Source organism: Homo sapiens, chromosome 10 (genome assembly GCF_000001405.40).
Source record: "Homo sapiens chromosome 10, GRCh38.p14 Primary Assembly".
NCBI classification, from domain to species: Eukaryota; Metazoa; Chordata; class Mammalia; order Primates; family Hominidae; genus Homo; species Homo sapiens.
Window position 1 is genome coordinate 94463195 of NC_000010.11, and position 18284 is coordinate 94481478.

At 37.2% G+C, this 18284-nt stretch overlaps 1 protein-coding gene across 9 annotated transcripts in view; it reads left to right on the forward strand.

Moving 5' to 3' along the window:
* TBC1D12 (TBC1 domain family member 12) overlaps positions 1-18284 on the forward strand; it is a 133792-nt gene that overhangs the window by 60654 nt on the left and 54854 nt on the right. For all 9 annotated transcript variants that reach the window (XR_945637.3, NM_015188.2, XM_006717732.5 and 6 more), the window contains one exon: positions 11474-11589. Coding sequence is in view for 5 of the 9 variants with exons in the window: in NM_015188.2 (NP_056003.1) it covers positions 11474-11589 (116 nt within the window). In the remaining 4 variants the exon portion in view is untranslated. The remainder of the gene's footprint in view (positions 1-11473; positions 11590-18284) is intronic.

Genomic DNA, 18284 nt, shown 5'->3' on the forward strand with positions numbered 1-18284 from the left:
TCATAAATGATTAATATGGATGGTCAGTGTCTCAGTCCATTTTCCGTTGCTTATAACAGAATATTGGAAACTGAGTGATTTATAAAGAAAGGGAATTTATTTCTTACAGTTACAGAGGATGAAAAGTCCAAGGTCGAGGGGCTTCATCTGGTAAGAGTCCTCTTACTGGTTGGAACTCTGCAGAGTCCCAGGGCAATGCAGGGCGTCATGTGGCAAGGGAGCTGAACATATGAGCTCAGGTCTCTTTTCCTTTTCTTATAAAGCTACCAGTCCCACTCTCATGATAATATGTTAATCCATGAACAGATTAATCCATTCATGAGGGCAGAGCCCTCCTGACCAAATTACCTCTTAAAGGCTCCCCCACCCCTGCCCAGTACTATCACACTGGGGATTAAATTTCAACACCAGTTTTGGAAGGGACAAATAGACAAATATTCAAACCATAACAGTCAGACAATATATGTTATGCAATTTTAGTTTTTTTCAATTTATTGAGACTTGTTTATGCCCCAAATATAGGGGCATTACTGAACGTTCCTTGTGTACTTTAGAGCAGTGTGTATTTTGCAGATGTTGAATGAAATATTCTGTAAATATCAGTTTAGGTCATGTTAGATGGTAGTGTTAAATTTTTTATATTTTTTAAATTTTCTGCTTTTTCTACCACTAACTGAGAGAAGAGTGATAAAATCTCCACCATAATGTACTTGGTTATTTCTCCTTTCATTTCTGTCAATTATTGTTTCCTGTTTTTTGAAGCTTTGTTTTGAAGTTGTCTTGGTGAATTGGTCCCTGTGTCATCAATGATATGTCCTTTTTGCTTTGGTAAGATTTCCTTTTATGAAGTTTTTATCTGACTTTATTAGCCACTAGAGCTTGTTTCCAGTTAATATTTTGCAGACATTTCTGTTTTCATCCTTTTATTCTTGTATCTACCTTTATATTTAAAGTGGGTTTCTTATAAATAGCATATAGTTGGGTCTTGCTTTTGTATACAATCTGATACCCTCTATTTTTTAAATGGCATGTCATTTACTGTCATTATTGATATGATCAGATTTAAATTTACCATCTTGCTATTTCTTTTCAAATTATTTCTTCTGGTCTTTCACTTTTTTTTTCTCCTGCCCTCTTTTGGGTTGAATGAGTATTTTTGTCACTGCACTTTATCACCACTATTAGCTTATTAGCTTTACCTTTGTTTTACTTTTTTGGTGGTTGCTGTTGACCAACAGTTTTCAAACATCTTAGTCTCATGATACCTTTGGATTCTTTTTTCTTTTTTTGAGACAAAGTCTGGCTCTATTGCCCAGGCTGGAGTGCAGTGGTGCAGTCTTGGCTCACTGCAACCTCTGCCTCCTGGGCTCAAGCCATCCTCCCACCTCAGCTTCCAGAGTAGCTAGGACTACAGGCACATACCACCATGTGTGGCTAATTTTAAAATTTTTTTTATAGAGACGGGGTCCCTTTGGATTCTTAATTAATAAAGACCTCAAAGGGTTTTTGTTTATGGGATTATCAGTTATTACTATACCCCCAGTTAAAACTGAAGTGTTCAAGTATTAATCATTTAAATATCACAAGAATAAAGCTATTATATGTTAACAAAAACAACATATTTGTGAAAAATGACTATTAAAAAACAAGTAGTGGGGAGAGTGGCATTGTTTTACATTTTTGCAGATCTCTTTAATGTATGGCATAAATGAAGGCTGGATTCTCATATCTACTCTTGCACTTAGTTTTTTGCTTTATATTGTTTTAGTAAATTTAAGTACATGAAGAAAATCTCACAGTTATGTATGTAGTAAAGAGAAGAACGTTTTAATAGTCTTTTCAGATAATTGTGGGCATTCTTCTCTGATGCCACTCCAAAATTCATCAAGTGGTTGTTTCTTAAAGGTAAGTTATAGTGTGGAATCTGAAACCATATAATTCTGTTATAGAAAAATGCATTGGTCTTTCTTGCACTTTGCATGGATATGTGTATTTATGCATGGTTTTATAATATCATGCATTGGTCATTTGGAAAGTACTGGTGCACCAGATACGTAGATCTTCCAAATGTTACAGCATTGCATTATAAAATATCAAAAAACGACAGTATTATCACCACTGATCTCACAAAAATCTAACTCTGGGAAGCTGTTAAATATATGGTGGCATAGGCCCGGGCGCAGTGGCCCACGCCTGTAATCCTAGCACTTTGGGAGGATGAGGCAGGTGGATCACGAGGTCAAGAGACTGAGCTCATCCTGGCTAACATGGTGAAAAGCCATCTCTACTAAAAATACAAAAATTAGCTGAGCATGGTGGCACGTGCCTGTAGTCTCAGCTACTCGGGAGGCTGAGGCAGGAGAATCGCTTGAACCTGGGAGGTGGAGGTTACAGTGAGCCAAGATCATGCCACTGCACTCCAGCCTGGGCGACAGAGCAAGACTCTTGCCTAAAAAAAAAAATATATATATATATATGTGTGTGTGTGTGTGTGTGTGTGTGTACATATATACGTATACGTATACATACATACATACATACGTATACATACATACATATGTATACATACATACGTATACGCATACATACATACATATACGCATACATACATATACGCATACATACACATATACGTATACGCATACATATATACGTACATGCATACATACATATATACACATACATGTATGTATATACATACATACGCATATATACATATATACGTATATATGCGTATATATGTATATACGCGTATGTATGTATATACATGTATGTGTATATATACACATATATATGAAGTTTTTATCTGACTTTATTAGCCACTAGAGCTTGTTTGCAGTTAATATTTTGCAGACATTTCTGTTTTCATCCTTTTATTCTTGTATCTGTCTTTATATTTAAAGTGGGTTTCTTATAAATAGCATATAGTTGGGTCTTAGTTTTGTAAGAACCTTACATGTAAGAACCTTACGACAGTGTACTGCTGTTTACCTCCTTTCTAACTTTTGTGCTGTAAACTCCTTATTTACATTTGCCAGTATATTTCTGTATTAAATGACCAAATATTCTCTAAAACTTTAAGAAATGAGAAAACTGTCTTTTTTATTTGTCCATATTTATTATTTTTGGTGTATTTTCTTTGTGTATATTCATGTTTTCATGTGATACATACTTTCTGCCTGAATAATTTCCTTGAAATTATATTGCTGTCTATTGACAACATATATATATGTATATATGTATATACATACACACATATATATAGTGGCATTTACAAGTTCACAGCATTTTAATTCTTACTGAAAGGCTGGATTTTATTATTAGCAACACTTACTTTCAATTGCTTTCCTTAAAATCACTGGCACACTTCATCCTTTTTTGTTTGTTTTAATAAGCTTTTTATTTTGGAATAACTTTAGATTTACAGAATAACTTTAGATTTTGGAATAACTTTATTATTGTGATACTGAAAAAACAATACAGAGAATTCATAAATACCTCTCATTCAGTTTCTTCTAATGTTAGCATCTATTACCCTGTACATTTGTCAAAACTCAGAAAATTGACTTTGGTAGATTACTATTAATTAAACTCCAGACTTCACTTGGATTTCACCAATTTTTCTATTAAAGTCCTATTTCTCTTTCAGTGTCTAATCCGGAATATCACATTATATTTTGCTATCACAATTCCTTAGTCTCTATGGCCTTTGACAGTTTGTCATCTTTCCTTTTTTTAATGAACTTGACACTTTTGAAGAGTACTGGTCTATTATTTTCTAGAATGGTCTTCAATTTAGGTTTCTCTCATGATTTCCTTATGACTTGAGTGGGTTTATGGTTTTCTGGGAGAAATATCATGGAGATAAAGGGCCCGCTTTGTCTAATTTTTAGAAAATGACTGCCACTGCAGTTTGCAGTCAGTTTTTCTTTTAAATAAAAATAGTGTTCTTGAAAAAGACATTTGTTCAGTTTAGAACTCAAATAATTGCACAAGTGCTTTTCCTTTGCACAAGTGTGTAGTCGAGTTTTTTTTTGTTTTTGTTTTTGTTTTTTAAGACAGAGTTTCGCTGTTGTTGCCCAGGCTGGAGTGCGGTGGCGCTATCTCAGCTCACTGCAACCTTTGCCTCCTGGGTTCAAGCGATTCTCCTGCCTCAGCCTCCCGAGTAGCTGGGATTACAGGCATGCACCACCACGCCCGGCTAATTTTTGTATTTTTAGTAGAGATGGAGTTTCTCCATTTGGTCAGGCTGGTCTCGAACTTCCGACCTCAGGTGAGCCGCCCGCCTTGGCCTCCCAAAGTGCTGGGATTACAGGCATGAGCCACTGTGCCCGGCCCTGTACTTTTCCTTTTGTCACGCAGAATGTTAAGATGTTTACTCATATATAAATATTTAATACAATTAATAATTTTTACTGTTTTGTCATAGACATACTTAAATGAATCTGGCCACTCCCCCTCTTTTTTTTAAACCTTCAATGCATGTCCTGAATAATACAGTCATCACAGTGCTATTGCTTTGATTTGTGATAGGGCACTGACAGTTTTTGTTTTTGAGACAGGGTCTCTATTGCCCAGGTTGGGGTGCAGCAGTGAGCTCATAGCTCCCCACTCTCATGCGCGTACAACCATACTTGGCTAATGTTTTTATTTTTTGTAGAGACAATGTCTCACTATATTGTCCAGGCTACCTACAGTTTTATTCAGCATTGCTGAGCACCATTAGTACAAATGTCAATGCAGTGACAAACTATTAACACTCTTAGGAATATAGCTCTGACTTTGCAGACCCCATGAAAGCATGTCCTGAACACTTAGGTCTTCTAATTACACATCGAGAAACTGCAACACTAGGGCTTTTATGATATTTAATTTATCATGGTCTACCTTCAAATAACTTTATAGCACTTGAGTATAATGGAAGAACCTTACAACAGTGTACTGCTGTTACCTCCTTTCTAACTTTTGTGCTGTAAACTGCTTATTTACATTTACCAGTATATTTCTGTATTAAATGACCAAATATTCTCTAACTTTAAGAAATGAGAAAACTGTCTTTTTGTCTATATTTATTATTTTTGGTGCTTTTTATCTCTTTGTGTATATTCATGTTTTCATGTGATACATACTTTCTGCCTGAATAATGTCCTTGAAATTATATTGCTGGTCTACTGACAACAAATTCTCTTAGCTATTGCTTGTCTGAAAATAATTTTATTTTGCTTTCACTTATGAAAGATATTTCCTCTGGTATAGGATTCTAAGTTAATAGATGTTCCCTCTCCATTTTTTTTTCCTTCAGCAGTTTAAAGATTTTTCTATTGTCTTTTGACTGGAATAATTTTAGGGGAAAAGTCTTGTAATTGTTTTCACATTCAGTCTTTTCAATATAAGTGCTTTTTTTCTGGCTGCTTTTAAAATATTCTTCTTACCATTATATTTTAGCAAATAATTATGATGTCTTTTGGTGTGGTTTTATCTGTATTCTGCTTAGAATTTATTGAACTTCTTGGGTCTGTGGGTGTAGTTTGACAACATTTCAGCCATTATTGTCTTAAATATTGTTCTCCCTCGTACCAACACTCCAATTACACATAATTTAGGCTGCTTCATAGTGTTCCCTAAAGCTCTGCTTATATTTCTTCAATTTTTTTCCCTTTCTTTGCTTAATTTTGGATAGTTTCTGTTGCTCTGTTCTCAAGTTGATTGATAACAGTGCTACAGTTGTTAATATGCAAGATCTGACGTGAATATTTTACTGGGTGACATTAATCACAGATTAAACATTGCAGAAGAAAGTAAGTTCATTGATAATTTCTTAGTTATGGGATAAATTAGCTCCAAAGAAAAAATTACGTTAGATGTGAACTAAAAAAGTTTATAAATAAGCCATAAAGGAGTCAAACTGATGCACAAGAAGCTTAACTTCTGGACAGAACAAAATCAAGTATTATTCAGCCCTCAGCCGTCTAAAATTCACAATGTCTTACATCCAACAAAGAGACCTTTTGGGTTTTTCCTGAATGTTTTGTGTATTCCCAGTGATGACTTTTTATTCTGGTGGTGATAATGTGAATAATTCTCACCCCTGGGTAAGCTCTGGGAAGTGTTTTGCTTGTAGCTCCTCAGGTTATTGTTCTTTTCCCAAAAGTTCTTCTTTGCCCAGCTTTGTAGGGTTTTATTGTACACGTGTAGATCAGTATTCAGCTGAAGACTCAAGAATACTGCTATGCTAGTTTCTGGAGTTTTTTCCTTTTTTTTTTTTTTTTTTTGAGATGGAGTCTCATTCTGTCACTCACGCTGGAGTGCAGTGGGGTGATCTCGGCTCACTGCAACCCTCTGCCTCCTGGGTTCAAGTGATTCTCCTGCCTCAACCTCCCAAGTACCTGGGACTACAAGCACATGCCACCATGCCCAGCTAATTTTTGTATTTTTCATAGAGACAGAGTTTCAGCATGCTGGCCAGGCTGGTCTCGAACTCCTGACCTTAAGTAATCCACCCACCTCAGCTTCCCAAAGTGATGGGATTACAGGTGTGAGCCACTGTGCAGGACCTGGAGTTCTTTCCTGATGGGGCACTTTCTTTTCTACTACTGTATCCCCAAAATTCTAGCCCTTTGGCCTGTCCAAACTAACAGCCAAGCTTCCTTTGGGGTCCCCCTTCCTGCCCTGATGTTCAGTATTGCCTCCAGGCATAACAGTTGAGTGATCCTCAGGCTCATCTTGTTTGTTCCCCCTTTGTCAGGGACTGCAGAGATTGTTTGCAGCAAGAAAGTTGGTGTGAGTTACCCAGTTCACCAAGTGGGAGTCTACTCTATGTCTCTGAAGAATTTTTGGTTTTTTTGCCAATTTGTATATACCTAACTTTTAGGAATGTAGATGAAAATCAGTACTTACTTAAATTTCTCATTACGTCTTCAAATCACGTGGAGGAGGGGAGAACTGAGAGAACAGTAGAGAAATGGAGTTGCTGATTGATGTTTATGCTGTGAACCTCTTGGTCAAACAGAATCCAAAGTTAACTGATTGTATGGAATATTCAGTTTTAAGAGCTCATAAATTTGCCTAAACCTGTTTGAGTTGGGTTTTCTGTTATATATAATCAAAAACATCTTAATAAATAGCATATAATCTTATGATGAATTTTGAAAGTACTAGTGTTAATATTTGATTATTATTATTATTTTTGAGAGAAGGTCTCACTCTGTCACCCAGGCTGGAGTGCAGTGGAATGATTATGACCCACTGCAGCCTCCACAACCTGGCTCAAGTGATCTCCCACCTCAGCCTCCCAAGTAGCTGAGGACTAGAGGCGCATGCCACCATACTTGGCTAATTTTGTATTTTTTGTAGAGACAGGATTTCACCATGTTGCCCAGGCTGGTCTTGAACTCCTAGGCACAAGTGATCTGCCAGCCTCGGCTTCCCAAAGTGCTGGGATTATAGGCGTGAACCTCTGTGCCCAGCCGTATTATTTCTAATACAATTTGTAATTCTTTTTTTTTTTTTTTTTTTTACTTTTTTTTTTAATCCAGGAGTGCTGCTATATAATTTGTAATTCTGATTGCATTAGGATGGCATGTTTAATTTATTCAGCAAATATTTAAGTTATTTTGATATGGAAATCTGTGCTATTTTCTGATAAAGATGAGCTCATACAATGTTTTAAAGCTTTTTTATTATTATTACTCTAGAAATTTACAGCACTTTTATGACAAGGATGTATGTGGAAAGTGCTAGAATACAACTTCTTATGTGAATGATGTTTGAGTGACGATTCTGTACAAAACTTATTCCTAGGTTGGGTGCAGTGGCTCATGCCTGCAGTCCCAGCACTTTGGGAGGCTGAGGTGGGTGGATCATCTGAGGTCAGGGGTTCGAGGCCAGCCTGGCCAGCATGGTGAAACCCTGTCTCTATGAAAAATACAAAAATTAGCCGGGCATGGTGGCACATGCCTGTAATCTCAGCTACTCAGGAGGCCAAGGCAGGAGAATGGCTTGAACCCTGGAGGTGGAGGTTGCAGAGAGCTGAGATTGTGCCACTGCACTCCAGCCTGGGCAATAGAGTGAGACTCTGTATCTCCAAAAAAAAAAAAAAAAAGCTCATTCCTCTCGTAGATACATAAATTATATTCTAGCTGCTTCATTTTGAGTTGCTTTATATATTAAATGTATACTTAGTTCACGTTTTATAAAGGACAGCTTTCATCAAACTTGGCTTTATCCAAACTTTCAGTGGTTTCCCATTTTGTTCATGATTAAGTCCAAATATTTTAGCCAGTGAAAGGCCCTGTAATTTAACCCACACCTTTCTAATCTTATTTCTCATCATTTTTCCTATTCAGTGAGATTAATGTGTTTCCCTGATCCATGCCTTTGTTTGCTCCTGCTGACTTGTTCTTTTAATTCTTTCTGCCTATCAGTACCCATCATTTTTGCTCCAGTTCCGATCCCACCTCTTAGTAAGATCTTTGTCCATCATCCACCATGGCCATGAGTGATCTCTCATAAGATATACTTTATTTTTTGTTGTTTACAAAGCCAATCAACACTGGTTTCATAAGGTGAACCAAAAGCCCTTCATTTCTAGTCTCACTCTCCGGAGGAGAACCTCTTAATACTTCCTTGATAATTTTATGCATATTTAAATATGTATTAGCTTATTTGGTTATTACTAACTTTGGCCACAATATTGGAGAACACAATTCTATAGGCTTAATTATATTTAACTTTGATTTTTCTTTTGGCAAGAATATTTCAAGAATGGTAGTGTATACTTCATATTGCATCATACAAGAAATATTCTGTCTGGGGGTCTCCTTTTGTGATATTTAAGTGGATTGGGGATTCAGGCATTGTCAGTCTGATCTACCCCGATGAGCCTTTCACTGAATGATTTTATGAATCTCATTCTTTTAAATTTTCATCAGCCAGGCACAGTGGCCCATACCCATAATCCTGACACTTTGGGAGACAGGGCGAGAGGATTGCTTGAGCCCAGGAGTTCAAGAACAGCCTTGGCAACCCTAAGGAGATCCCATCTCTACAAAAAAAAATTTTTTTATGTCATACATAGCTACTTTACTGCCTGTTAATATAGCAAGATAATAGATTGTTAAAAGGCAGGCTATGGAGCCAAACTGCCTGCTGGTAATGACCTTCAGCAAATGAGTATACATCTTTGTGCCTCAGTTTTTCTCCACTGGGAGGGCTCTAACAGTGCATGGTTACACAGTGTCAGTCAATGTTAGTTGTTATTAATATATTGGTTTGAAAGTTTGATTTTGCTGTCTATGTGCTTGGCCTTTGTTTGCATGGAAAATGTTTTATTGGATAATATTCATGGTATTCTGTTTGGCAGTGAAACCAGGTTACCTTGTAGGAAAATAAAACACCATTTAAATTATAACAAATTTATTATTTTTCTATAATTTTTAGTAAGAAAAACATGAGCAGAAAAGGGATTTATTACATTGGAGTTTGTAATGAAGAAAAGAAACATTGAGCATGATTATATATTCTAGATATTAGGAAAGAAAATTGGAAAAGACAAAAAGAAATGAGTGACATTATTGTTTTTGATTATGAACGGCTGTATGGTTCTTTGAGATGACAGTTAATAAACATAAGTGCACACAATCCTAAATAATTTGATAGAGGAGAAGTTTCTAAAAACCCAATGTGGTGATGCAAGGGAGCTCTCAGATAAGCAGAGCATAGATATAGTAGATGGAAGGGAAGATGCAGAACTAAAGATGAATATGAAACTTTATAAACAGTGGCTGGAACCACAAGGTAAGCTGAAGTTTGTAAGACCAAATAAGTTGTTTTTTAAAAGTAATATCTCAATTAAGGTTAAGCTTCAAGAAGATAATCAAGGCCGGGCACGGTGGCTCACGCCTGTAATCCTAGCACTTTGGGAGTTTCAGGTGGGCGGGTCACAAGTTCAGGAGTTTGAAACCAGCCTGACCAACATGGAGAAACCCTGTCTCTACTAAAAATACAAAAAAAAAAAAATAGCCAGCCGTGGTGGCTGATGCCTGTAATCCCAGCTACTCGGGAGGCTGAGGTGGGAGAATCGCTTGAACCCGGGAGGCGGAGGTTGCAGTGAGCCGAGACCATGCCACTGCACTCCAGCCTGGGCAACAAGAGCATAACTCCATCTCAAAAAAAAAAAAGAAGAAAAAGAAAAAAAAAAGATTATCAAATTTTTAAGAGGTATGGAACTATCAGGTCTCATTTTATGATTGCCCAATTGAGTAAGGAGAAATAGGCTTTGAGTTGGAAAAGATGTAACAATAGTATTAAAAGAATTACAGGCAATTGTAGTTAAGCAACTAAAAAGTGAAATATCTGACCACTTTAAGTGCATTTTATTTTCTTCATATAAATCAGTGTCTTCTATAGCCACCAGTGGACTTGCATAGTTCGTGAAATCATTGAGTAATATTTGAGAATGTAATGAAAAATATAACTAGTGCCTGGAGATGATCAGATGCTAGCTTGATTTTTTAGAAAGGAAAAAATGTGGGTACTGAAGCTTGCAAGCTGGTAAATTTGGTATTGATCTTTGGCAAATTTCTATAAATAAATTTCAGAAGTTTGGGAACATTTATGAAAGAATACTTGAATGGATAAATTTAAATGTGTTTACCATATATTAAATTAATTTATTTTAATTAGAATTATCAGGTTGGATGAATTAGAAGAATACTATAGTAAGTTTCTTAATTTTAGTGAAATGTTTGACAGTCTGTGGCTATATTTTTGAATAAGATGTGTTAGCAAACTGTTGTTTAAATTTAGAGTAAGTAGATCTATTTGTAATACTAGATTGAAATCCAAAACTATCATTTCATTAGAGGTTGAATGTCACCCTTGAGAGGGATCTTCAGAGCAATACAGTGGCATTATCTATATCTTGTCTCAACATTTTAATCACTGATCTAACTGAAAGTTTAGGAAGTAGGCTTATCTAGTTGTAGATTATTCAAAGATGGCCTGGATAGCTGATATCATAGAAGGCAATTAAGAATGTCTTCCTAAAACTTTAATTAATCTAGTGTACTTCTGTCTTTCCTTCTCTTACATTTTGATACTTTGTATGTAATATATATTTATAGTTTAGGTTGCTTCAGGAAAACAAAAAAAAAAACAACTTTTTTTATGTTTTGTTTTTAGTAGAGGTGAGGTGTTGACCCTTGCCCAGGCTGGTCTTGAATTCGTGAGCTCAAGTAATCCTGCCACCTCGGCCTCCCAAGTGCTGGAATTATAGGCATGAGCCACTGCTCCCAGCTCCCCTCCACCTCCAAAAAAAAAACTTTTATTTTTTGTCTGCTTGATATTTTTACCAAATTATTTTTTGAATTGTATGTATCCCTCATTATAGCATAATATTTTTAATGATACAGATTTAATAGTACAAACTATGTTGGAGCAGTTTCTGCATAAGGTATGTTTTAATTTACTCTAGGAATATGAAGCACGAACGGGGAGGACCTGTAAACCACCACCTCAGTCTTCAAGACGCAAGAATTTTGAATTTGAGCCGCTTTCTACCACTGCCTTGATTCTTGAGGATCGACCATCGTAAGTATTTTAGTGATAATCAGTGACATTGTTTATATTTTAAAGTTAAATTTAATTTTGTTCACTATTTTAAAAGATAGCGAGAAAGATATTGAGAAAGGATTTAATTTTTACAAAATTTAATCCCTGTTGTCTATCCTAAAACTATTTGGGGAGAATATATTTTTCTTGGGTTTTTGGTTTGTTTAGAGACAGGGTCTTGCTATGTTGCCCAGGCTGTTCTCAAACTCAAGTGATCCTCCTGCCTCAGTCTCCCCTTCCAGGATTGTAGGCATGCACTGCTGGCCCTAGTAGAGAGTATATTGTTGTTGTCTAAGACTTACGCATATTTTCTAGAGGTCTCTGTGAGTTAATATACGAAACATAATAAAGTATTGGCTCTTTATGTCTGTTTCTATTTCAACTCTCTGCTCCTCCATCTTAACATGATAGGGCAGTTATTCTTCCTTTCTTGACATTTAGTATGTATTTAAGATGTGCTTGTCTTTGCCTTTTGTACTATGTAACTACTTAGGTAACAAAAGTTTTATTAAGGAAGTAAGAGTACACTCCCAAGAGAGGAGTGAGCTGACCTGGCTGGGAGCCTACTATTATTATTAAGAATACATTTCTTATTTATTTATGTTTGTTTGTTTTGTTTTATTTATTTTTAATTTTTTATTTTTGAGACAGAGTTTTGCTCAGTCACCCAGGCTGGAGTGTAATGGTGCGATCTCAGCTCACTACAGCTTCCACTTCCTGGGTTCAAACCATTCTCTTGGCACAGCCTCCTGAGTAGCTGGGATTACAGACATGCACCAACATACCTGGCTAATTTTTTGTGTGCATTTTTAGTAGAGACAGGGTTTCGCCATGTTGGCCAGGCTGGTCTTGAATTCTTGACCTCAAGTGGTCCACCCATCTCAGCCTCCCAAAGTGCTGGGATTACAGGTGTTAGCCACCATGCCCAGCCTAAGAGTACATTCTTAATGCTCAGCAAAACATCTTAAATTGTTCTTTTCCTGCTGTACATCAGAACATTGTCTGATTTATTATTAAACAAAACACATCCTAAAGCAAGACCACTTGGTTCTTAGCTCTTTTTCTCCTCCTTGGGTTCTCTGGATCAATTCTTTTTTTTTACTAGGATTGTCTCTCTGTCCCTCTCTTTCTTTTTAATTTAATTTAATTTGTAGAGGCAGAGTCTTGCTCTGACATCCAGGCTGGAGTGCAGTGGCACAATCATAGCTTACTGCAGCCTCGAACTCCTGGCCTCAGACAATCCTGCCACTTCAGCCTCCTGAGTAGCCAGGACTACACGCGCACACCACCGCACCTGGCTAAAGAATTCTTTCTCTCTCTCTCTTTTTTTTTTTAAATGTAAAACTTCCTAGCCTTTCTTGCCATTTTCCTGATCTGGACCTTTTTCTACCCATTTTCCTGATGAGCATAATAAAATAGTCTGGAGCCAAATAGAAGAGCATAGAATATTTTTTGGACATTGCAAGAGAAAAAAAGCTGGACTTATTAAGTACATTATTCTTTTATTCTGGTTACATTCCCTCATACTAAAGAATTGTGGTCCCAATGCTCCTCTTTTAGGATTTGATGAATATGTTTATAATTGTCTTTTCATTGTTTAAAAAAAGCGTTTTAGAAACTTAGTTATGAGAACATGTGAAATTTTATTTCAGACTTGCTGCCAGGGATGAAAATGAACCAGGCCAATTCAAAGATTCCTTTCTTGGTGGAGACATTTATAGGAAAACAAGAGTGGTTAGATAAACAAGAAAAGAATAACTTGTTAAAGATCTTTAGACTTTGCAGCTGTCAGCTGAGTACGTAGATAAGTTCCCAGAAGAGCTTGCTTAAGCTTGATAGAATTTATCCGAAATGGATTATGCTTTTTACCGGGAATGTTAATTTCTTCCCAGAAAGCGTTTATGAAAATATCACTCAAAAAGTTCTATTCTAGACGGTGTTGGGGACAAATCTTTCTTTACACCATACTCTATTTCATATCATATCTGCCTCTTTAGGTTCTACCTCCATGCCTTTGCTCATGTTATTCCCCTCTCTTGGAAGGCTTTTATCTTATTTCTACTTCTTACTTACTCAATCCTTAAGGATTAGGCTTTATCTTTTCTATCAAGTCTTTGGTGATTTCTTCAGCCTTCCGTTGTATCTACTTCTCTTGTACCTTTCTTGTTACACACAAACAATTCCTTGAAATAATGTTCAATGGAATTGTCTTGAAATAACATGGTAGGTACAATAACATTATGAAAAGAACTCAGTGTACAAAAATATATAAACAGCTGAAAAAAGTACTTTTATTTTCACTCTTTTGAACTATCTATAGTTATATTAATTATAATATATGTTATAGCTTTTATTCTGTTTCTGTGTGTTTGCTCCTTTGTAGTATAGAGACTGAATTTGGTCTCTAGTGTTCCACCCAACACTGAGATGCTGTGGTTAATTAACAATTTTGTTCACCTTTTTAAATTTGAAGGGGCCTTTTTGGTGGGGGGACGTTATTTGTATGACTTACATTTATGTAACTAAAACAAACCAACAAAGTGTCTTCATGGTATTGGAGTATGAGGGTGTTTAATCACTTATTTCTTCTTCTACTTCAACCAATTGAAAAATAGATAATGGAGAACAGAAGAGAATGAAACCTTCAATTTTATTGAGTATAAAACCAGCTGAGGGGAAGAAAACTGTACATGGGAATACCTGGGTACAACCTGAGTACTAAAGTGGAACTTTGTACTTTATCTCCCTCAGAATACTCTTCTAGCAGACTTGGGCCAGCTAACATCTATCTAGTTATAGCCCAAGAAGCTAGAACAGAGGTCTGAGTAATCTTAGGTTTCTTCTGTTTATGGATGCAGGCAGATTCAAGAGGCCTGTTCTGCTTTTGTGTCTTATCTACTGGTAATGCCACTACTTCGACTATGAGGTGGCATCTGGAAGAAGATAGAAATTATTCTACAGCAGGGTTCCCCAAACCCCAGGCCCCAGATTGATTCTGGTTAGGAACTGGGCTGCACAGCAGGAGGTGAGCAGTGGGGTCTAGACCATGTGGGAGGTCTAGATGTGGGATGTGAGGTTGTGCAGAGAAGAGGTCTATTTAGATCTGCAAATTTCACCTTGTTAAATAGAAGACTAGATCTCCTAAACTGTGCCCAGCAAATCATTTGCCATGACTTGTAGAAAAGAAACAGAGGAGCTAGGCATGGTGGCTCACATCTATAATCCCAGGACTTTGGGAGGCTGAAGCAGGAGGATCGCTTGAGGCCAGGAGTTCAAGACCAGCCTGTGCAAAATAGTGAGACCCTGTCTCTACCAAAAATAAGCCAGGGTGTGGTGGCACATACCTGTAGTCCTAGCCTACTTGGGAGGATTTCTTGAGCCCAGGAGTTTGAGGTTACAGTGAGCTCTGATTGTGCCACTGCACTCCAGCCTGGGTGACAGAGTGAAACCCTGTCTCAGAAAAAATAAAATAAGATGACAGAGATTGCAAATGCAAAAGGGATTAAGCTTCACACCAGCAGCATTTCATCTTATGTGAAGAGAAGGATCAGGCCTATTTGGTGGAAGCCAGTAGGTGGTTAGAAATCTTAAAGGCGGGATTTGTAGTTAAACTGGAAATGTAGGCCAGGCGTGGTGGCTCAGTCCTGTAATCCCAGCACTTTGGGAGGCAGAGGCAGGGGCAGACCATGAGGTCAAAAGATTGAGACCATCCTGGCCAGCATGATGAAACCCCATCCCTACTAAAATATGAAAATTAGCTGGCCATGGTGGTGTGCACCTGTAGTCCCAGCTGCTATTTGGGGAGTCTCTTATGTGTAGCTGAATGTAATTGCTTAATCATATACCAATAAATCAATGATGGTGCTCTAAAGGTCAAGAGCCATCACAAACTCCAACCACATTTAAAATCCATGGAGTTTAGTCCTCACATCCAGATCCATTGAATCTTACAATTCCTAGTATTGCCTACACATACTAACTACCTTAAATCTTGCAAATCGATTCTGTCCAAAGCTGCTTTCTACCTATGTCATAGCACCTGCTCAGGAGGCTGAGGCAGGAGAATCGCTTGAACACGGAAGGTGGAGGTTGCAGTGAGCGGAGATTGTGCACTGCACTCCAGTCTGGTGACAAAGCGAGACTCTGTCTCAAAAAAAAAAAGTGGAAATGTGATTTCAATTAAGCTGTTTCTCCAATGATAAAATGAAAATTTCTAAAGGTAAATGAAATACAGCTATCAATCAATTTTCTGTATCTTAAGGGCTCAGAGTCCAGTCAGAAAAACAAATCAATGTAGTAATTTCAAACAGAGGAACTTTAATAGAGGAATTCATTGCAAGGTTGTTAAAAGGACTAGAAAAGCAAAAGAAGGGAATACAGGTTCAAAAGATTAATAATTCCAGAAAGGTGTGTATTGCTCTGGGATGTAGAAGCAAAAGAAAAAAATAATATTACCCAGAGTACAATATCACTCTTTACCTGAAAACTATATTTAGCTTCTATTTTTTCCTGTGGTCTTATCTTCTTTACAGTAAATAAAGTTTTTTTTAAGTATTAACATAATGAAAAGGGATATTGTAATTATTTTATATGGAACTATATGGAATCCATCATTGCTTTTATCTTCACAATTCTTTGTAATTCTAGGAAGTACTTTTTCTGAAATTTAGGAACAGTTAAATCCATTATTCTTTTGCAGAAATCCAGAGAGGCAAGCAGAATAGCTTGTAAAAGGAAATAAGAGAGACTTAAGGCTAGGATTTTGGAGTTAATAGTTGGTGCTATGACATAGGTAGAAAGCAGCTTTGGACAGAATCGATTTGCAAGATTTAAGGTAGTTAGTATGTGTAGGCAATACTAGGAATTATAAGATTCAATGGATCTGGATGTGAGGACTAAACTCCATGGATTTTAAATGTGGTTGGAGTTTGTGATGGCTCTTGACCTTTAGAGCACCATCATTGATTTATTGGTATATGATTAAGCAATTACATTCAGCTACACATAAGAGACTCCCCAAATAGTAGCCTAAATATGCAAGAATTTAAGTATGTAAGTAGCCCAAATTAAGTAGTTCAGTGCTAGTATGGTGGCTCCATGCATCAAAGACAAGGGTTGATATCTTTCACCATATTGAGAAAAAACTTCATTTTCATGGTGACCTTATGCTAACCGCAGAACGGGCTTGGGGACCCACTGGGCCCACAGTAAGAAAGACTTGAGCTAAAACTCCACTAATCGCCTGACCTCTACATACCTCTACTTTGACTCGGGACTATGGTAACATTTTGGGTCTCTTGCAATTAGTGTCAGATCAGAGCCGATATCCAGTAGTCCCTGAACGATCTGATTGTTTTCTTTTACCTAATGAATAGTTACCCTGGTAAAAGGCTGTAAGCCCCTTTGGGGAAGGCTGGGAGAAAGATTAATAGTATAAATTTTTGGTGGTGTACTGGAGTCCTCTCAAGGGGACCCATCATCTTCCTCATTCAAAGGATTCTGGGTCTGTAAACTGGCTCAAGTCTGGGGAGTGATTGAGGGGCCATTAGTCTTCATGATTCAGGGTAGACTTTTGTTCTCTTGACCTAGCACTTTTCTGCTTATATAGATCAAGTAAGAATGTAGTAGGCTTCTTTTTTTCACTTCTAAGAACACCATATCAACTAGCCAACACAATAGGTGTGTGCAAGTCATACTATTCTGATTGCGGCTTTGACTCTGCTGTTCATTATGGTAATTCTGCTCGCCTTGCTTTAATGATTGAGTGCTGCCACTTGGTCCCTGCCACCCCAGGATTCAATTATTCCCTTTGCATTTAGGTTTCCCAGTTCAGTGACTGCAGTTCAAGACCAGCCTGGGCAACACAGCAAAACCTTGTCTCTACAAAAAAAATATATATATATGTTTATATATATATATAAAATTAGCCAGGTGTGGTGGCACACTACTGTATTCCCAGCTACTTGGGAGGCTGAGGTGGGAGGATTGCTTGAGTCTGAGAGGCAGAGGTTGTAGTGAGCCATGATCACGCCACTGCACTCCAGCCTGGGCAACAGAGCCAGACCTTGTCTCAAAAAAAAAAAAAGACTTGAAAGTCAAAATTACTTCTTGATCCACAGGTTGCAGAATGAATGTTGTGATGGCAGGCATGAAAACAACATTCATCTTTTTGTACATCTCCATCAGAGCTCTTTGGTAACTAGGTGCATCGTTAATAAGCAGTGTTGCTTTGAAAGGAATCTTTTTTTTTTTTTTTTTTGTGAGCAGTGGGACTCATCAATAGTCTTAAAATATTCATTTAACCGTGCTGTAAACATGTCCTGTCATCCAGGCTTTATTGAGCACAGGTAGAGTAGATTTAGAATGATTCTTAAGGGCCCTAGGATTTTCAGAATGGTCCATGAGCATTGGCTTCAACTTAAAGTCACTAGTTACATTGGCCCCTAAGAAGAGAGTCAGCCTGTCCTTTGAAGCAGGCATTGACTTCTGTCTTGCTTAGAAAATACTAGATGGCATCTTTTTCCAGTAGAAGGCTGTTTTGTCTACATTGAAAATCTGTTGTTTAGAGTAGCCACCTTCATGAGTGATCTTAGTGTATCTTCTGGATAACTTGCTGCAGCTTCCCCATCAGCACTTGCTGCTTCATCTTTTACTTCTATGTGTATAAACAGCTT